Source organism: Homo sapiens, chromosome 12 (genome assembly GCF_000001405.40).
Source record: "Homo sapiens chromosome 12, GRCh38.p14 Primary Assembly".
NCBI classification, from domain to species: Eukaryota; Metazoa; Chordata; class Mammalia; order Primates; family Hominidae; genus Homo; species Homo sapiens.
This window is the reverse complement of record NC_000012.12, coordinates 93851625-93871680: the sequence shown is the minus strand read 5'-3', so window position 1 is coordinate 93871680 and position 20056 is coordinate 93851625. Positions and strand designations below refer to the sequence as shown.

The following is a 20056-nucleotide window of genomic DNA, read 5'->3' as shown; positions in this document are numbered from 1 at the left end:
CACAGGAAGACAAACATTGCATGTTCTCACTTATTTGTGGGTTCTAAAAATCAAAACAATTAAACTCCTGGACATAGAGAGTAGAAGGATGGTAACCAGAGGCTGGGAAGGTCGTGGGGAGCTGCGGGAGAGGTGAAGGATAGTTAATGGACACAAAAATAACAGTTAGAAAGAATGAATAAGACCTACTATTTGATAGCAAAACAGGGTGACTATAGTCAATAATAACTTAATTGTATATTTTTAAATAACTTAAAGAATAATCAGATTGTTTGTAACTCAAAAGATAAAGGCTTGAGGGGATGAATACCCCATTACCTACCTATATACCTATACCTACTATGTACCCACAAAATTTTTAAAAAAATGTTTCCATTTAATGTGAGGCAAGATAAACAAAGATTCACATTTATTTTAAAAATTATAGGAGAGCATGGATAAGATGACAGGGAGTCATTAGTAGAGAAACACCCACTATATCATTTGACTAGCCTAAGTAAATAAATAAATATTAAGTCGTTAGGTTAAAATTTAAAACCCAATAATTCTGGGCCCACTATGTGCCAAGCAAGAATACTCAAAGAGAGGTATACAGATACATCCCATTAAAAATTCTGAATTTCTGACTTGTTTGCTTTTACATTTATAGTGTATCTGTTGTATATGGCATGTAGTTGGGTCTTGTCTTTTCATCTGTTTGAAAACTTCTGTGCTCCCATTTTGCTTATGTCACAGTTACCAGACTCCTTTTAATTGTTGTCCACTATCATCTCCATTTCACAATAGCTTTAGACATGGTGTTCTCCATTTTCTCTTCCAAATAATCAGCCCCCTGAGGCAGATATGTGGGGTTGATCCTATGGCCTGCCTTTCTCTCTGGGAAGAACCCCCATGCCACTCAAAAGGAGTTTGGGGTTAGGACCTGCTTTTCCCGGGGTGACATCCCCACTCTATAACGGGCTTTGAGGAGGAGTAGCAGTCCCTGGTCTTCTTGGCTTGCCCATCTCAGCCTGAAACCTCCACCCTATGAGTTGGCTGGGGTGTAGGTGTTTGGAGCCCCAGTACTCTTGGCTGCTGCAGTTGGGGCAGAGCTTCCACCCTACTGGTGGCGGTGCATGGTGGTGGAAGCAAGACCTGTTCCTCTTGGCCATGTCTACCAGGAATAGAGCTCCTGCAACACGGGGCTGGGATGGACAAAAAAATGTCAGTAGCCTGCCCTTCTGAGGGTAAAACTGTAGCCCCAGACTGGGAACTTAAGGGAGAGGAAGGTCCCGTCCTCATTTTCTTAGTTGCACATTCTCAGGGTAGAGCTTCCATAACACAGACCTGAGGAGAGGTGAGGACATGGAATGAGCAAGTCATGGTTCAAGTGCCACAGACTGTCAGTGTTCTTACCAATATTTAGCAGATTTTCTTGAATAAATACTTCTCCATGTGTTGTTATGTCGTATGTCTTTAGGACAATTTCCAGAGACTTGGAATGATTTTTTAAAAAATACTTTTCACCAGTTAAATTTCTGTTTTGCTTGGGAGAGGGCCTGGGAAGTCCTGCTCCCACCTCTAAATCATTCCTTATTTCTGATGAATCATTTTCAGTGACTCTTATATTTATTTCCACGTATTAAATGTGTCTTTTATTGGGCTGTTTTAAAGATTTTTTTTTCTTTATCCTTGGTTTTCAGCCATTTGTCAATTATGTGCCTAGATATGAATTTCTATCTTTTTCTGTTTGAGGTATACTGGGCTTCTTAGATTCATAAACTGACAATATTCTCCAAATTTGGAAAATTTTCAGCCAAGTCTCCTTAAATATTTTTTGCCTCATTAATTCTCTTTTCTCCTGAATAACACAGATGTTAGATTGCTTATTATTTCCCTATTGGTAAGGAAGGCTCTGTTAATTTCTTTTCAAATATTCTTCTCCTTTAGTTGGTGATTTTTGTTGGCTTTTCTTCAAGTTCTCTGATCTTTCCTTCTGTTGTTTTCAAACTGATGTTGATCCCATCCATCATTTTTTCAGGTATTGTATTTTTCATTTCAGGTATTGTATTTTTCAGTTCTGAGATTGCATTTTTTTAGTTCTGATTTCCATTTGGTTCTTTTTCAGCATTTTCATCTCTTTCCTGAAATCCTCATGTCTCCACAAATTACACCTATTGTTTCCTGTAAATTCTGTAACATATTTACAATAGTAATTTTAAAGTCCTTATATGCTAATTCCAATACCTGCTTTGTTTGTGGGTATCCTTTTATTTTCTGGAGTTTCTCTCTTTTTATTATTGTCATATATTTCTGCTTCTTTGCATGTCTGGTAATTTTTATTGTATGCTGGACAATGTAGAAACTCTAAATTCTGTCATTTTCATCAGATGAGTATTTGGTTTTGTTCTAGTAGGCAGGTAAATTTCTTGTGGATAACCTTAATCCTGTGTAGGCTTGTTTCTAGGCTTTGTTAAGCTAGTTATATTTTATTTTTGCTCTTACTCCTAGGATACAACTCTGAGTTTTGGGATATGATCCTTATATCTAGGGCATGATGCTTCTGGCATACTGATGGAATTCAAGACATGTTTATCAAGCCCCACTAATTTGGTGAGATTTTAACTTCAAACTGTATCTCTCCAGTACTAGGCAGCTGCTGAAATCCCTGCTCAGCCTTCCAGCTGATGTTTTCTGCTATGCTCTTTGGAGTCTTGCCCTGTACATTTGTGGTTAAAGAGTCAGCCAAGGTTTTGAGAAGATTTTGTACATAATTCTGGGACCTCCCTGTTCTATTACTCCTAACCTCCTGGGATCCCCCAACAACCCACTTCAATTTCCAGTTGCTCTGGCAGCCCTGTACTCAAGCCTCTAATTCTTTAGTTGAAAAAGTCTACTTTTTCTGCAGGTGGTGGATGTCTGCAGGTGAAAAACCAGTTCAATATGTATAATATCTCCTCCAGTTTGTGCCTATTTTTGGTCCTTCTTGTGTGTGTGTGTGTGTGTGTGTGTGTGCAAGAGAGAGAGAGGGAGAGAGAGAAGAATGAGTTCATAATCAGTGGAAGGTTTAGTCTGATACAAACTACTCTGCCATTACTCAAAACTGGAAGCCTTTATATTTTTTAAACATTAATGAAATTATACCATATATTCTATTTTATAACATTTTGGTAAAGTTGAACAACATATTTTAGATATCATTGTATACATATATTTTAACTGACTTTATGTCTTTTGCCTGATATATGGTGTTCCAAGTATTCAATAATAAGGCTGTAAAACAAGGATAAATTATAAATGGAGTTATAGGTTATGAATTAGGTCTCTTTCAATGTTCTTTGAGAGATACTAAATTAGTTTCTTTTGAATGAATCTCCTTATAAGAGTGGACCACAAAAGACTAGTTATATTTGAGTCTGTAGCACCATGAATTGAAATAATCCTCTATAATGAACATTTTGGTTGTGTTCAGTTTTCGTTATTACAAGCAATGATGCAATGAACATCCTTGTACATTACTTTTCAGTCTTTCCTATAGGATTACTTGTAGGAGTTGAAATGTTGAGTCAAACTAAATCCACATTTATAATTTTAATAAATAATTACCAATTACTACTTAATAAGTCTATACTCCCCAACAGTAAATTAAATTGCCTATTTCTTCATAATTTTAACAATACTGGATGTTTTCAACTTTAAATCTTTCCCATAAACACAAACATGCTCATAGCATTTTATAAAAGTGAAATTGTCAAGTCCTCTTTTGCTGTTCTTAATCTTGATTCTGAGCTATTTTAAATTTCTCTTTCTAATTTCCTAACATTGTGGCTCAGTCTTAGAATAGGAAAATCAATTTTGTCTCTGGGCCCCCCACTCAAAAACAATTTGGATTCTATGTCCAGGCATGTTGCTTCTGACTATACTGATGAAGCATCATTCCCAGTTCAACCTGGTCCAGGGCTTTATTTCCTAGTGTTCTTCTACCATGGGTATTCGCAATTTACCTCATTCCTTTCACATTCCCTCATTTACTTTTGAAATTTACTGCAATCTCTAAAATAGACAGTTTTATCTTTGTAAATTAGGTCACTACAATTTCAGTTGAACCATATCCCTGTAATAATTGGTTCAAAAGTATTTTGTCAGTAAGAAATATTCTAATATGCCTCAAGAATTACTGCTGTAGCTTCCTTAACTTCCTTACTTAAAAAAAGTAGTCATTAAGAGAGCAAATTACATATTGGAACATTTTATCAGTAAAATATATATATTGATCTTGGACTTCCAAGTTTAAAAAATATATATATATATATGTCAAATACAACTTGAAGATAGCAGATATTAAACACACATGTTTTCCTGTACTTTTTATGGATCCCCACTAACTAACATACAGGAAGGAAACCGAAGGAGGAAAGGAGAATTGGAGGGAAAATGAAAGCCGTAAAATGTTGTGAGTTAGAAAACAGAAAGAGGAAAGACAACTGACCTAGCAGGTCTAGGACAGCTATGTCCTAAGTGAGCAAGCTAAGTAGTAGCCCATTTTCTAAAATAGAACCACAAAGCCTCAAGAATTAGAAGTAGCAGGGGTTTATGATTTGGGAGTAAAGGGGAAGACAAAAGTCTAGGAGTCAGACAGACACAAATACAAATCCTCCCTGCTCCCCAGCCCAAATTCTAATGCTTACTTTGTGTGATCAGAAAATTAACCCCTCTTTCCCTCAGCAGAAATTTGTGGTTTAGAGACAGCAAAAACAGAAGGTCTCTGAAGTGTGGGATACATGGCACAGTTGAAGGCAGCAATCATTTTGAAAGCATGAGGACTACATACTAAATGTTGAAGCCCTCTGCCACAGCTCATGGCCCTCTTCCATCACTAGGTTCCCAGAAAACTGTGCAGGATCTTAGAAGATTCTTCTCTGAAAACATCTGACAAGCCAAAAGAAAAGATCTAAAGATGCTGATATTAGGATTATCCAACAAACAGCTCAGCCTGATAATCCTACAAGTGAGCTAATGGTCTTGAAGCCCCACCCACAATACAGAGTCTCATTCAGCTTTTTAGGGCCCCAATTTTAAATATAAATGAACAGCCAATGATCACCTTTTAAAGAAAGCCTCTAACATGAAAGGCAGAGACTAAAAACAAAGAGATTAAAGTAACTTAGAGAAAACAGAAATTAGATAAGAAGACAAAAACTATCAGAGAGTTAAGAGAATATATTGTAAACATGAAGCAATAGGATGCTATTTTCAAATGGCACATTCATACAACAAAAGAGTCTTAGCAATTAAAAACATTATGTTATAAATTAAAAATCCAGTAAGAAGGTTGGAAGTGAAATTTGATTAAACCTTTCAAAAGACAACAAAATGACAAAAAATAAGAGAGAAAGGGTAAGGAAATTTAAGGATCAAGCCAGGAAGTCCAATATCCAAACACTATGAGTCATAGAAAGAGATAAAAAGAAAACAGGGTAAATGAAATCATCAAAAAATAATTTAAGAAAATTTCAAACTGAAAGTCATTGTGAGATAAAAGTTCCTATCAAGTGTCCAGCAAAATGAATAAAACATATTAGTCAAAACATATCATTGTGAAATTTAAGAACATTGGAATCAAAGAAAAAATTCTAAAGCTTCTAGAGAGGGAAAAATTGGTTAGACTCTAATAAAAAATCAGAATGACCATTAATCTTCTCAATAATGCTAGAAACGAGAAGTAATTCTGCAGAAAAATGAATTTTATAGAATTTTATACCCAGCCAAGCTATCAAATAAAATAAAGTCTTTTCCAGACATATAAGCTCTCAAACATCTGTGGGTTCCACATGCCCAGATTCAACCAACTGTGAATCAAAAATATACTGAAAAAAATAACAATACAACAATAACAATAATACAAAGAAAAAACAAGACAGTATAACAACTGTTTACATAGCAAACATTGTATTAGGTACTGTAAGTAACCTAGAGAAGATTTAAAGTATACAGGAGGATAGCCTGGCATGGTAACTCACATAATTCCAGCACTTTCAGAGGCCCAGATGGGAGGATTGCTTGAGTTCAAGACTAGCCTGGGCAACATAGTCATCTCTACAAAAAATTTTTAAAAATCAGCCAGGCATGGTGGCATGTGCCTGTAGTCCTAGCTACTAGGGAGGCTGAGGCAGAAGGATCCCCTGAGCCGAGGAGGTTGAGGCTACAGTGACCCCCAGATCACTCCACTATACTCTAGCTTGGGCATCAGAGTGAGATCCTGTCTCAAAATAAATAAATAAAGTATACAAGAGGATGTGGTAGGTTATATGCCAATACTACATCATTTTATACCAGGGACTTGAGCATCCATAGGTATTGCTTTCTGCAGAGGTCTTGGAACAAGTCTGCCATGGATACCAAGGGAGGACTGTACCAGTATGCAGTTCCTGTGCAGCCTGTAACTAGGCAGGGGTTGGGGGAGTGGGGAAGGTGATACATGGGGCATCACCCTAGGCTATCTGTTATGAAAAGCTTTTCTGTGCTGCCCATAGCAAGACCTCCTCACCGGAGCTTGGGATGTTTTACTTTAGCATCTACTACTACTCCTGGGAACAGCTGAGCACCAAGGATGTGAGTGTTGGAACGTTCTGGTCTAGGATTTGTTGATTCACTCTTTCAGCAAACATTGCAAACCTGAGTAAAAGCCAGGCACCCCTCATTCATTTGTTTATTCATCATCAAATATTTCTATATTTATTCCGTGCCTGACACTGTTCTAAGCACTCAACAAATACTCTCTCATTGCCTCCTTATAACGGTGTTATGAGGTTGGTTCTATGATTATCTGTCTTTCAGAGGTAAGGAGAGTGAAGCACAGAGAAGTTACATAACTTGCATAAGAAACATGTGTAAGATTTTTTGACTCAATGACAGTAGCATTTACAGTTCTCCATCACTTTCCCCGTACTGAGGGGTACACATACGTTTTTGTGTTTCCTTCATTCACTGAGACCTTCGTTAATCATGACTTCGTGTGCCAGACACTTCATTAGGAAAGAAGAGGACACAAGACACAGGTGGGCCCTCAGAGAGCTACATTTCAAGGAGGCAAATGCCAAGTGACCCTCACTTTTATCCTTGACTTTGGATCCAGCAAAGAGAATTGACTCAGGTCAAGAATGCTGTCATTGTCATTGGGATAGACTACTTTAAACAAAATAAATGATGTTTATGGGACATTAAACATGTGACCTTTGCCCTTATATGGCTCATGCTAAGGAGTCTATGTGGTGTACTTGCACAGACATTCCTGGTTCAGAAGAGAAAATGTGTGTGGGGCTAATATTCCCATCAAAATCCAACAGGAGCTTGGGCACGGTGGCTCATGTCTGTAATCCCAGCACTTCAGGAGGCTGAGGATGGAGGATCCCTTAAGGCCAGGAGTTCAAGATCAGCCTAAGCAGTATAGTGAAATCTCATCTCTACAAAAAATATAAAAATGAGCCAGGCGTGGTGACACACACCTGTAATCCTTGACACTTGGGAGGTGAAGTGGGAGGATTGCTTGAGCCTGGGACTTCGAGGCTATAGTAAGCTATGACTGTGCCTGCCTGGGGAACAGAGCAACACCTTGTCTCTATATAACAGTAAATAAATACATAAATAAAATCTAACTGGGCATGTGGCCATAGCTGCAGTGTTTCCCGACTTCATGTGTGTATCATTAATTAAGAATAGTTTGTATTAGGTGTTAGGCATTTATTTTTATGGGTACTGTAAAATATATAAATAACATTGACCCATCATTTCTAGTATACTGCTGTTTGGAATAAATAAAAAAAATTTAAGTGAATTAATTCAAAGAAATATATTAAACTAATAATGGCATAGGTGGTGCTTTAGATATTGAAAATTAGCAAAGTGGTACTCATGTGAAGCATACAGCAGTGCTTATTGGGGGTGTTACTGGTATTTTGGGTGGGGCAACTCTTCATTCTGTAGGATTATCCCCAGCCCCTGCCCATCACATGGCAGTAATGCTAACCCTAACCCCCGCCAATGTATGATGACAGCTTCACACACACACACACACACACACACACACACACACACACACACACACAAATGCCTCCACACATTTTCAAAGGCCACATAGTAGAGGCCTGGGGGGATTTAGTATCACCTCTGACTGGGAACTATTGCTAAACAGAAGCTAAAGACTTGTCAGATGCCCCACTGGAAAAACAAACAAGCTACGTTCGGGTATTTTTGAAGTAGAATGAAGGGAAGATAAAACTCAAGTTCAATTACCAAGCAGCTTAGTTGGGGAGGCACCACAGTAAGCAAATGAGAACCGAAATGAGAAGATAGCAAAGGGATGAGAAGTCCTGGCAAGCGTGGGGACAGACCGCAGAGGCCTGGGGCTATAGACAGAACTTTCCTGGCTCGGGGCTGCTGTTATAGGGCAAGACCAGTTCCTTCCTGCTTGTCTTACAGGTGCCACCTGGCATCTGACAACGACCAGAGACAATGCCCACTGCCTCTTGAGGAACAGGCAATACAACCACTGCTTGAACAGAAATGCAGCATGATATCAAGCCAGGGGATATTTTGCAAGGATACAAGTCATATAATAAAAAATGTGACAGATTTATTAATCATTAAAGAAGGAAAAGAAGGTTCCAGAAAACCACGGGTCTCTTTCCATGTGCCCCATAATATGCTGCTAACAGTAAACATGAATTGTTGGAGGAGGAGAATAAATCAATGTTTTTTGCATACCACTCAAGATACTGTTCATACCTTTTTAAAAATCTTGGTTATTACTGGCTCCTTTGACCCACTAGTTTTCCCATTACACCCCAAGGTTGAGTGTTCTCTACCTCAATGTGTCTGTGGGATAAATCTTTCCAAAGATGTTAATAGGTGGTGTCATGGAAGAGAGGTTTTCAATGTCAAATAAGTTTGGGAAATACCACACATTTCTGATTTGGAGATTCACAGTTCACACTGGCACTTTAAAAGTGTTGAGATTTCTTTTGTTTTCTTGGTAGTCTAAAGGGTGAAACCCAAACTCTTGGCCTGGTTTTAAAAATTAGCTGACTCACCCCACCTTACTTAACAGATGTAATTTTCATGAGAGGCAGACTCACAACAAAGGCTCCTCCTAGGCATCCTAACCATCTTCACTTCTGGGCCCTCTCTCACCTTCCCCTTCCTCTAGCACACCTTTCCCAGGCTTTCCACTTACTCCACACTCCCGTCAAGCCCCAGCTCAAGATTCATCTCCTTAACTCCTATTCCCTACAGCGAACTTTCTTTCTACTGTGAAACTGTATCTATACAAGGTGGTGTCATGTCGCTTTGATTACTTCAATGTTGCCTTGGAATTATCCTCGGGGTGTATGATAAAGGTAGTTTGTAAGCAGTTTGCCTATTTTCAACTTCTCATGGGAGTCTATTATTGCACCATGGGCCTTGTAGAAAAAAATACTGCTGGAAACATTTCCTGGTGGACGTGCTGATGGCTAGCTTTGTTCCTTTGTAAGACCACTTAGATTCTCTGTGGAGAAGGAAAGAGGTTTAATGTACTCACAGTTCCACATGGCTGAGGAGGCCTCACAAAGGCATGGTGGAAGGCAAAGGAGAAACAAAGGTTCTCTTACATGGTGGCAGGTAAGAGAGCTTGTGCAGGAGAACTCCCATTAATGCAACCATCAGATCTCATGAAACTTACTCACTACCACGAGAAAAGTATGGGGGAAACCGACCCCATGATTCAGGGATCTCTACCTGGCCTTGCCCTCGACACCTGGGGATTATTACAATTCAAGGTGAGATTTGGGTCGGGACACAGCCAAACCATATCACCCTGTCTTCAAAAAAGAAAGAAAATGAAATAAAATATATTCAGAACCTGACCACTGCTCACCACCTCAATGCACAAGCTATGTTCCCCTGGAGGCTGAGTCTGGGATGGAGCTGAGTGGGTGGGGAGTTTATTAGGGGGTACTCTTGGAATCAATGCCTGTGGAAAGGAAGAAGCTGGGCTGTGACGTAGTCACAAGGAAGGCCTGAGCGGACTCCTTGAGGAGCTCTGAACTGGGGTGACCCTTAGGAGTTGTCCTGAGTTGAGGTGCAGGGCCAGGCCTTTGTAGCCCTCACTAACAAGCCTCCAGGCAGGGGAAGTGTCACTGGGCAAGACAACTGTCTTTAGCAGAGGCAATACTTGAAGAGGGCTGACAGCCAAAGGCCATTAGCTGGAGCTTCCTGGCTGCTGGAGGAATAAATGTTTAATTCCTGAAGGAGACCTAAGCATCCTCCACCACACTTCACTATGGCCATCTTGATTGGAGCCCCTCTCTTCTCAAGAGCAGTGCAACAGCTCCTCACTGGTCTGCCTGCTTCAATCCTCTTATCACACAAGCTAGGGTAATCCTTTGAAAATATGTTAGATGGTGTCCCACCTCTGCTCAAAGCCATCATGTCAGTACTTTCCTGCCTCAACCTGAGTAACATCCAAAGTCATCACAGTTGTCTGTACCACCCTGCAGCCTCTGCTCCCTCAGCTCTCAGGCCTCAGCCACTACCCTTCCCCTCTTTACAACGGCACTCTAGAGACTCTGAACTCCTCGCCGTTCTTTGAAAATCTTGGCCAAGTTCTGTTAAAAGATAAATGTATGCATATTAAAATGTCATGAGTTTATTTGAGCTTTAAATGATTCAGGAATCGGGCAGCACCAGACCACAAGCAGCCTGGCGCTCCGAGGGGAGGAGAGGAGGGGGCTTTTATAAGGTGCTCATGGAAGCAAGACAAAGAAAATATTTGGTTAAAGCAGAAAGTCCCTGGTGAGAGGTCAGTTTCTGATTGGTAAAGTCTCTAGTTAGAAGTTAGCTGGCAGTTTCTGATTGGTTACGCTGGTTTCATTTTACTGTTTACATTGAGTTGGTTTTCCATTTGCTTAGGTAGCAACCAAAGGTGCTGAAGGTGACTCATGTAAATGTCCTCCTGATTAATTATTTTAACAGTTCCCATCTCAGGGTTTTCCCATTTTACTGTTCCCTCTGCCCAAAATGTTCTTTCAGGCCTCAGCACGGCTCCCTCCCTCGGGTTTTTACTCCTGTCACCTTCTTGTGGGGGTCTTCTCTGGCTGACCTTTTGGCAACAGTACTACTCCTTTGCCTGGCTCTTCCTGCCCTTTGCTGCATTCTCTTTCTCCATAGCAAGGGGCTCAAGGGGAGAAATTACAGACTGTCACATTGACTGCTATATCCCTACCACCTATATTCATGCCTGGCACATGGCAGGTGCTCAAAAAGTACACTTTGAATGAATTTCTATAAGCTACAGAAAAAGGTTCCATGATTGGTCCAAATTGAAAATTGGTCCATGATTCTCTAGGAAAGTAAAAGGAGCTGTGTTTCCTTTCCTGTTGTTTAGCTTTGGTCAGACAGGCCATTTGTTTTTCTTTACTCAAATTAAATATGGAGTTAGCTTAAGTACCTCTTATTGAACAAGCAAACAGTTAAGATGTCAGAATTCTGATATCTTATACCTAAACCTTATAAAAACTTTTTTTTTTTTCAAATTTGCGTTGGCCTCTTAAAAGTTGAAGAATTTTCACACTGTTAAACTTCCTCCAAGGCTTTTGTTCCCTAAAAGCAGTGATGGTTAACAAACCCCCTACATGAGCCAAATACAGTGGCCAATGTCTGTAATACCAGTACTATGGGAGACCAAGGCAGGAGGATGGCTTGAGCCCAGGAGCTCGAGATCAGCCTGGGCAACACGGGGAGACCCCATCTCTATATAAAAAAAAAAAAAAATTAGCTGGTCGGGGTGGTGCGCCTGTAGTTCTGTAGTCTCAGCTACTTGAGAGGCTGAGGTAGATCACTAGAGCCCGAGAGGCTGAGGTTGCAGTGAGCCGTGATTACACCACTGCACTCCAGCTGGGGAGACAGAGTGAGACCCTGTCTCTTAAAAAAAAAGAGAGAGACAAAGAAATCTCCCACCCTTTTGTGTTTCAAAAGAAACAGCCATCCCCACAAAGGACAACCCAGCCCTGGAATATTCTGTGATAAGACCCACCTTCATCCTTCCTCAAGGCTCCCATGAGGATTCATGGGAGACCAGGACCCCTTCCTTTCCTTTGAGTTATTCTTCATTAATAAATGTTCTCCCTATTGCAAGGGCATGAATAAAATCATATCCTTAATTGTCCAGTGCATTTTGTCTTTCACAGTTTGATGCCAAGACTTGGATATAATTGGACCTCACCTTCCAATTCCCAGTTACTCCACACAGGTAACGAGGCCTTAGGTCATCTCTAAGTTGCTCAGTGGGATGGGGTAGAAAATTGGTGATTCCCTTCCTCCCCATCATAAGGATCATGGCCAACACCCTATAACAAAAGACAAGTTAACCAGAAAAAAAGTAACAAATGTATTTGATTATAGCTTTTTAAAAAACAATTTAAAACAATTTCATTTTAAAAAATGAAAGCACTTACATTAACCCTAAAAATATAAATATAGCAAACAGGTAACTGGGTGTGTTAAACACTCATCTGCACACACAATCAGGCATTTATGGAAGCATATGCCCCACTGTGCATGTAAAGACAGGTTTCATTTGCACTTTATTGCTTCAAACAATGAACAGCCTATTTGATCATAGTTTTACATGACAGGTGAGCCTTCAGAACGAAGACCCAGAGACTCAGGAGAAGCTCTCTGATTTTATGCTTAGGTTTGATGAAGCAGGGACAGTCATGTGGAAATGTGATTGGACAAAAAAGGCTATGATCTAATGGAAATAGACTGCGTGGGGAAACCTACAAGGCCTGGCTGTTCAGATCCTTCTTGGCCTCTCCATGCAGCATTCCTTCCTCCCAGGTATGGGGTAGGACCCCTCTGGGATGAGGGTCTTAGTTTCTTAATGGCCAAGTGTTACACAGAAGAATGGTGGAAGGTTAGAATAATATTTCTAGGTTTTATGGCTGGCTTTGGGGAAAAGGAGTTCTAGTTTCTATGACCCATCTTGGGGAAGAGGGATTACAGTTTCTATGGCTTATCTCCGGGGAGAATGAGGGGTGAGAGACAGAGCGGGCAGCAGAAGGTCAGAGAGAGACTTTGCTTCTGAGGCTGCTTTGGAGGCTTTCATTTTGGGGTATTGTTTTCTGAGTCCCAACAGTGGCAATGATGTTCATTTTCAACAAAAGGGAGGACTGACAATGTTGAACTTAATCTAAGTCTTGTACTCTAAAAAGTAGAGATGTTAAGAAATCTTCTGCCCTTTTGGGTTGTAGGAACTGGCTAATTGCCAAGGACCACACAGGCTTTGCATACTCTGAAGTAAGACCCACCTCCGTCCTTCGTCATGCTCCCATAAGACTCTCTTTGTCTCCATAAAAGCCAGGCTCATTCTTTTCTTTGAGATATTTCTTACTAATGAATGTCCTCCTATGGCAACAGCCTGAATAAAAATCATATCCTAATTTACTGGTGTATTTTGTCTTTCACACTTTCATAAGGAGGGGATTTGTGTTGGGAGGGTTTATTTATAGCCTTAAAGTGTCTGTTGGGAAATCAGCAGCTGACAATAATGAGTGACAAAAGAGCTCTTGACAATAGATAACAGACAGCCAAAGGGTCTGCTCCCTCAGCAGAAAACCAGCATGAAGCTCAGTTTCAGAGCAGGGAATAATTATTACTTCCAGAGGCTGACAGAAACTTGATTCAAGCAGATGGTTGGACAAAAATATATTGTTGGAAGTAATTTCCCAGCATAAAAAATAAATGTCACTTTATATAATTTGTCCATTAAATCAACTATCTCCAATGTGCTAGCCACAAAAGACTCAGTCCTCCTCTGTCTGGGGGCTCTGGTTGTAAAGAGATGATGTGGAGGCAGAAGTCCCTGGAAGATGGAGACTGTCATACATCACTTGTCTACAAGCTCTTGCTCCCCCTCTTGCCATGTGATCTCCGAACAGGGAGCTCCCCTTTGCCTTCTTCCGTCATAAGTGGAAGTAGCCCAAGGCTTCCACCACATGCCCAGTCTTTAGTCAGCAGAATCGTGAGCCAAATAAACCCTTTGTCTTTATAAATTACCCAGCCTCAGGTATTCCCATGTAGCAACACTAAATGGACAAAGATAAACCACTACCTACTATTTATATTCAAAGAAATATTCCTAGACAGACACCCTCATTCTTGGCCAGGGCACACACCAGGAGCACCAAATTCATCAGCAGTCTGTAACTGGGCTTACTTAAAGCATTTGTAGGCATTTGTTGTCCTTGAATTAGCAACAGGCTGATGAGTCGTGCTGAAGACCTTGATATTGGCCAAGTCCTCACAAAATTGATTCATCTTCTAGAAGCTGACAAGTAGGAGGTTATACGTCACCAGAAGAAAGACTAGTAACTACTTGATCAAATCCAATCCGTTTTATATTTCCTCCAAATATTCTCCATTAAGAATGTAATTTGACATCAAAAACAGCCCTGCTTAGAGATAGAATATGAAAATGAAATGGAAACATTATGAGTATTGCCAAGATGTTGGGTTTTTTTTTTTTTACTTTTTAAGTGCTCAAACCTGGATTTCATAGCCTATGCTTTGAATTAACAATAGCTATCAGAATTATTGCCATATATTTTGCATAAGTTTAATAGACAAGGCTTAATTGGCTCACTGAACTGTGTCTTTGTGAGACTTTAATTTTCCTGTAAGAACACTAAATGCCAACAAGATAGACATCCCTGTTCTTCTAAGCTTTGTTTATAGTTCCAAGAAGTAAACAGGCAGTTATTACATTTAAAAACTTCCCCTGTATGCCAGCAACATCTAATTTGAATATGTGGGAGTTTTAGAGGAAAAGGGATAGGGATGTCATAAAAAAGAACCCCAAAATATGCCTAATACCTAAAACTTGAAGCCTGATCTTGATCCCACTGTGGATTAACAAACCACATGTTTCTCAATGTCACTGTCATCTTGATGTATAGGATATTTGCCACTTAGTTTCTAAATTGCTCTGAGATCACATTTTGGAGGCATATTTATCTTGCATATCCATGGCAAGGAGAGCCATTTGTCAAACTGGATGTAAAATAAATTAAATGGGATTCTGCTGCCCATACACATTAAGGCCTCCCAAAGAGACCAACATGCTAACTTGGGCAGGACTTACAAAAGCTCAGTTGAAGTATTACCTCCTCTGTGGCCAACTTAATTGCTCCCTCTGTGCTTGCCATAGTTGCTGGTGGTTATAGCTGTCTCCCCAGCAGGCTGAGATCCTGAGAGCAGAGACTATGGCTTATTCATCTTTGTATCTCTGGTAACTTGCATAGTGTTTTGTAATCAGCAAGAATTTGCTCAAAGACTGTAGTTATTCATTTAATGGTAGACAACTGTTAGATCAGAATCCACCCCAACTCTGAGTATGCTCTGAAGTGTGCCACAGTTCATAGCCACTTATCTTTAGAGTCCTGATAAAGATATTGAGGGACTATGCAGTTTCTATTTCTATACCACAAACATCTGCAGGAGGTGATTCTACCCTCACACTTCTCAGAGCCCTGGGAGGGTGAAGAAGATTAGAAAAACTGGGCCGGGCGCAGTGGCTCACGCCTGTAATCCCAGCACTTTGGGAGGCTGAGGCAGGTGGATCACGAGGTCAAGAGATTGAGACCATCCTGGCCAGTATGGCGAAACCCCGTCTCTACTACAAATGCAAAAATTAGCTGGGCGTGGTGGCACCCACCTGTAGTCGGGAGGCTGAGGCAGGAGAATCGCTTGAACCAGGGAGGTGGAGATTGCAGTGAGCCAAGATCATGCCACAGCACTCCAGCCTGGCGACAGAGCAAGACTCCGTCTCAAAAAAGAAAAAGAAAAAGAAAAACTCTGATAGCCAAAAGAATTCAACTCAATGGTTTAACAAAACATCTTTGCCAGGCACTGTTCTAAGCATGTTATACCTTTCATCTCATGGAATCCTCACTGTGACCATAGGTGGGTACTGTTATTTGTTTGCATTTTACATGTGGGGAAACTGGCACCCAGAGGTGGAGTAACTTGCCCAAGTGACAGAGCCTTAGATACAGTGTTATTATTTCCCATACCTCTCACTTCCCAAGAAGCCAGGCAAATGGATCATTTCTCCTCTGCATTCCCATAGACTCGATACTCAGGCGCAGGCCTGATTGCATTGTGTTGTAATTAGAGCTTCATGTCTGTCTCATTGGTCAAACAGTGAGTTCCTGGAGAAGAGGAACTGTGTATTTATTAGTAATCTTTTCGCCTCCCTGCTTAGCGGAGTGACTGGTGTGCAGTAGCCTCTGCTTGAGAGTTTGCTGAATAGCTGAATGAGGTGAGGCTCTGTCCAAAGCTGCCACACCTGGAGAACTCCCCAGAGAAAGGGATGAAGACAGATTCATCCTGCTGCCTCAGGCCTGTGTGTGTGTGTGTCTGTGTGTCCAACAGCAACTTTCACAGTGGGCCACGGAAGTTAATTTTTTTTTTAAGACGGAGTTTTGCTGTCTCCGAGACTCGAGTGAAGTGGCGCGATCTTGGCTCGCTGCAACCTCCATCTCCTGGGTTCAAGCAATTCTCCTGCCTCAGCCTCCCGAGTAGCTGAAATTACAGGCACTGGCCATCACATCTGGTTAATTTTTATATTTTTAGTAGAGACGGGGTTTCACAATGTTCCCCAGGCTGGTCTCGAACTCCTGGAGCTCAAGTGATCCGCCCGCCTCAGCCTCCCAAAGCGCTGGGATTATAGGCGTGAGCCACCACATCCATCCCTAAAATATTTTTTAAAAGTTTTTAAAAAGTATTAAAAAGTCAAAATAGTTTTTAAAAATATGTTATTAATACTTTAAGCCCGGCGATTCCACTTCTAGGAGATTATGCTAAGCATCATCATGGCTGTATGTCTGGAGGCCATAAACGTATGTGGCTGAGCAGGTAGTGAGCAGGTGGAAGGAGCTGGGCAAAGGATGTGCATTCTGTGGGGTGGGGGATGGGAAGGACCATGGCATGCTAGGAAAGGCTTGCCTGTTACTGTGATTCAAGGACAGGGATCCAGAGTAGCCAAAGATTGTTTTTCAATAGGGCCCAGAAATCTCAATTTAAAAATATTGGCTGTGGTGGATTGCACGAAACGGACCCAAATTATTCCGCTCCTCTCTCCATGCCTTTTGGTAGAGCCCTCCCGCACTGACTCTGAGCTGGCACATGACTGGCTTTGGCCAGAAATGTCAGCAAAAGGGATGCAAACAGAGGCTTGAAAGGTGTTTCCACATGGCGGCTTGCCTTCTTGCTGTCTGGGGAACCCCTGCCACTACTACCAAGTAAAGAAGGCAGGGTAACCTGACAGATAAAAGGCGTGTGACCTAGACACAAACGACCCATTGCCCCAGGAAATAGCCTACTACTTTCCAGACACATGAGTGAGGCCGCCCTAGAGCATCCTGCCTCAGCCAACCCACCAGCTGACCACAGATACACGAGAGAGCCCAGCAGAAATCAGCTGAGCTGGCCCAGATCGGAAGAGCAAGCCCAGCCAGCTCACAGAATTGTGGGCTAAATTTTAAGCCAATACATTTGTTGTTTTAAGCCATTACATCTTGGGGGTAGTTTGCTATATAAAAAAGCTAATTGAGAACAAAATTAAAATATGTTTGGCGCTAAACAAACCAGGGATCCAGTTCATTGTAACATATGATGAATGTAAAGATTTAACCACAAACACTCCCTTCCTTGCATCACTGTTTATAACAATGAAAAGGCAAAACCGACCTAAAGATCCACGCAGGGAAGTGGTTAAGACATGACGGCGCATCCACACACTGGAAAGCTGTGCATCATTGAAAATGACGGCAGCGAATAGTGGCAACACGTAGACTATCAACCCTTCATAAGCGTGCCATCACATTTGGATCAACAGGTAAAATTCATTTGCCCTCCCAGAACACGTACTCTTGTGGAAATGGAACACGAAGCTGATTGGATCATCAGGCAGTGTAGAGGCCATCTTGCTGTTAGGAAGAGATAAAATCTCAGAATAAAGCCCAGACTGTGCTAAACTTTGCTTTTTGAGGATATAAGAGTGCATAGAGGGGAGCCGTAAACAGCTCTACTGCTTGGAACATGGTTCCAAACGGGGATGGAGCAAAAAGTGGGACAATGGTTTTGAGAGTGAAAGACATTGCTATACTTATTGTCATCTTTTTAGTAGCTAAGTGTCCTTTTATCTCTTCAAACATGCCACAAAAATTATAGGACTCGAAAGTGTGTTGTGAACACAAAGGATATTGAAATCATTGGCACAGAGAAATAATGACACAGAAAGACAGTTTGATGTTATATAAAAGATGCCACTTGTAAAGCAGCAGGTACAATATAATCCCATTCTTGTAATAAAATTGAAAACTTAATTTAGTTAATTTTAAGCCATGAATATAAAGATCATTTGGAGTATGCCATTGAGGAATATTAAAAAGATGCATCATTTTAATTACACAGTTTAGTCTCTCTAAATAGTCCCACATCGACAAAAAAAAATAAGTGTATTATCAGTTGGAAAATATAACACTTTTTATAAGGAAATGCAGAGAAAATCCTATTCTTTTTATGAAAAGGATATGCAGGCAGAGAAAACTAATTGGAGGACAGGGATAAAAATTGGGATGTACAGTGCTTAGATGGGAGTAGGGGTAATTCTTATTTTTCTTCATCTTATTGTGTTTTTTTTCAAACTGCCATAATAAACATGTACTTCATGTTGAAAAAATTAATAAAAGTTATAGTTTTAAAAACATGAAGGGCCACACTCATGCATGCATATGCACACACACACACACACACACACACACACTCCAACCCAACCCAAAGTGGTGCAAGACTATATATTCATATACTTTCTGTCAGTGCCGGCAAATGCTCTTGCCACCTCGCTGCATTCATTCAGTTTTCTTGGGGATAAACAGTCTCTGAAATTGTAGAATCTTCTCCCATACAAACACAGGAAATCCCTGCAGGCTCTTCACCTCCCCAGTTCTGTTAGGAGGTAGGCAGCTGCTATGTAGCATTATTCTTCATGGCCAGAGGTAGTACCAAGATAGGGATTCAGCTGCTCTGTTCTTCCACTCTGCAAATCTTCTGCAAGCACGTGAGCAGGCCAGGGAGGGGCTGCCGCCATTTGGTGGTGAAGACACTCTGCTTGTGAAGGGCAACAAGTCAGAGGTCTCTAAGGGCCCCCTCGGCCCTGTCTGTCTGGCCCATCGTGGGCTTGTTCTTCACTAATTGTCTCTCACTGCTGACAGAGCCCACGAGTGTCTTTATGCGTGACAGATTCCTTGCAAATGGTGAATGGCGGAAAGATGACCCAGCTAATCATCAGACCTGCTTCTAAAATGCCATCTAGTCAGACGCAGCAGAGCCCAGCTCTACTCACTCATCCATGAATGTGACTCTGAGCTGTGAGAACAAAAGCCAAAGCAACTCTCTATTAGGAAACCCAGGGGGAAGACAGCAATGTAATAAGTCCCAGGTTCAAAATGACAAGTGATTCACTGAAGATGCCACAGCAGTACAGTCTATCACTGGGCACAGTGATATGGCCAAAAGCATGAGAATTTTATAAGATAATGAATTATTGGCTGGGCTACAAAATGAAAAATTTGAACTGATAAGGCCAGTAGACTATCCTTTTGAACCGAATTCACTGGAAGAATAAACTGTGGCATAGCAGCTCTTTTTTAGTAACAGGAATATGGTTACAAGATGCCTGAAAGGATGTTATCCACACACTATTGTCATCTTTTTAAGTACCCACTTCGTGCTCAATTCTACCATTCCATAAATTTATTCTTGGAATGGAGAGAAATAAAAAACATGATTTTTTTCTCCCTTTTGAAAAATCCTGAGTTATGTTAGAATTAGGAAACAGATTCCGTAATTATTAAGAAGGATAGATCACAGACTGGCCCCATTGTAAAGTTTATAAAATCAAATCCCATTTTAAAGCTTAGTAAGAAATGTGGCAATAGTAGCTCCTCCCACAGTGCCCTCAGCTTTCAGCCACTAT

The 20056-nt window shown here is 40.9% G+C and overlaps 1 protein-coding gene across 3 annotated transcripts in view; it reads right to left on the bottom strand.

Moving 5' to 3' along the window:
- Positions 1–20056, bottom strand: part of CRADD (CARD and death domain containing adaptor protein) — a 217466-nt gene that overhangs the window by 23160 nt on the left and 174250 nt on the right. Inside the window, exons 3-4 of one of the 3 annotated variants that reach the window (XM_047429805.1) lie at positions 12239–12362; positions 11945–12141 (exon numbers count right to left, since the gene is read on the bottom strand). The exons of 1 other annotated variant lie outside the window; for it this stretch is intronic. In XM_047429805.1, coding sequence (XP_047285761.1) covers positions 12349–12362 — 14 coding nt within the window. In that variant the 3' untranslated portion in view covers positions 11945–12141; positions 12239–12348. Of the gene's footprint in view, positions 1–11944; positions 12142–12238; positions 12363–20056 lie in introns of those variants that run through there. One more of the 3 variants, NR_135147.2, reaches the window with a different exon arrangement.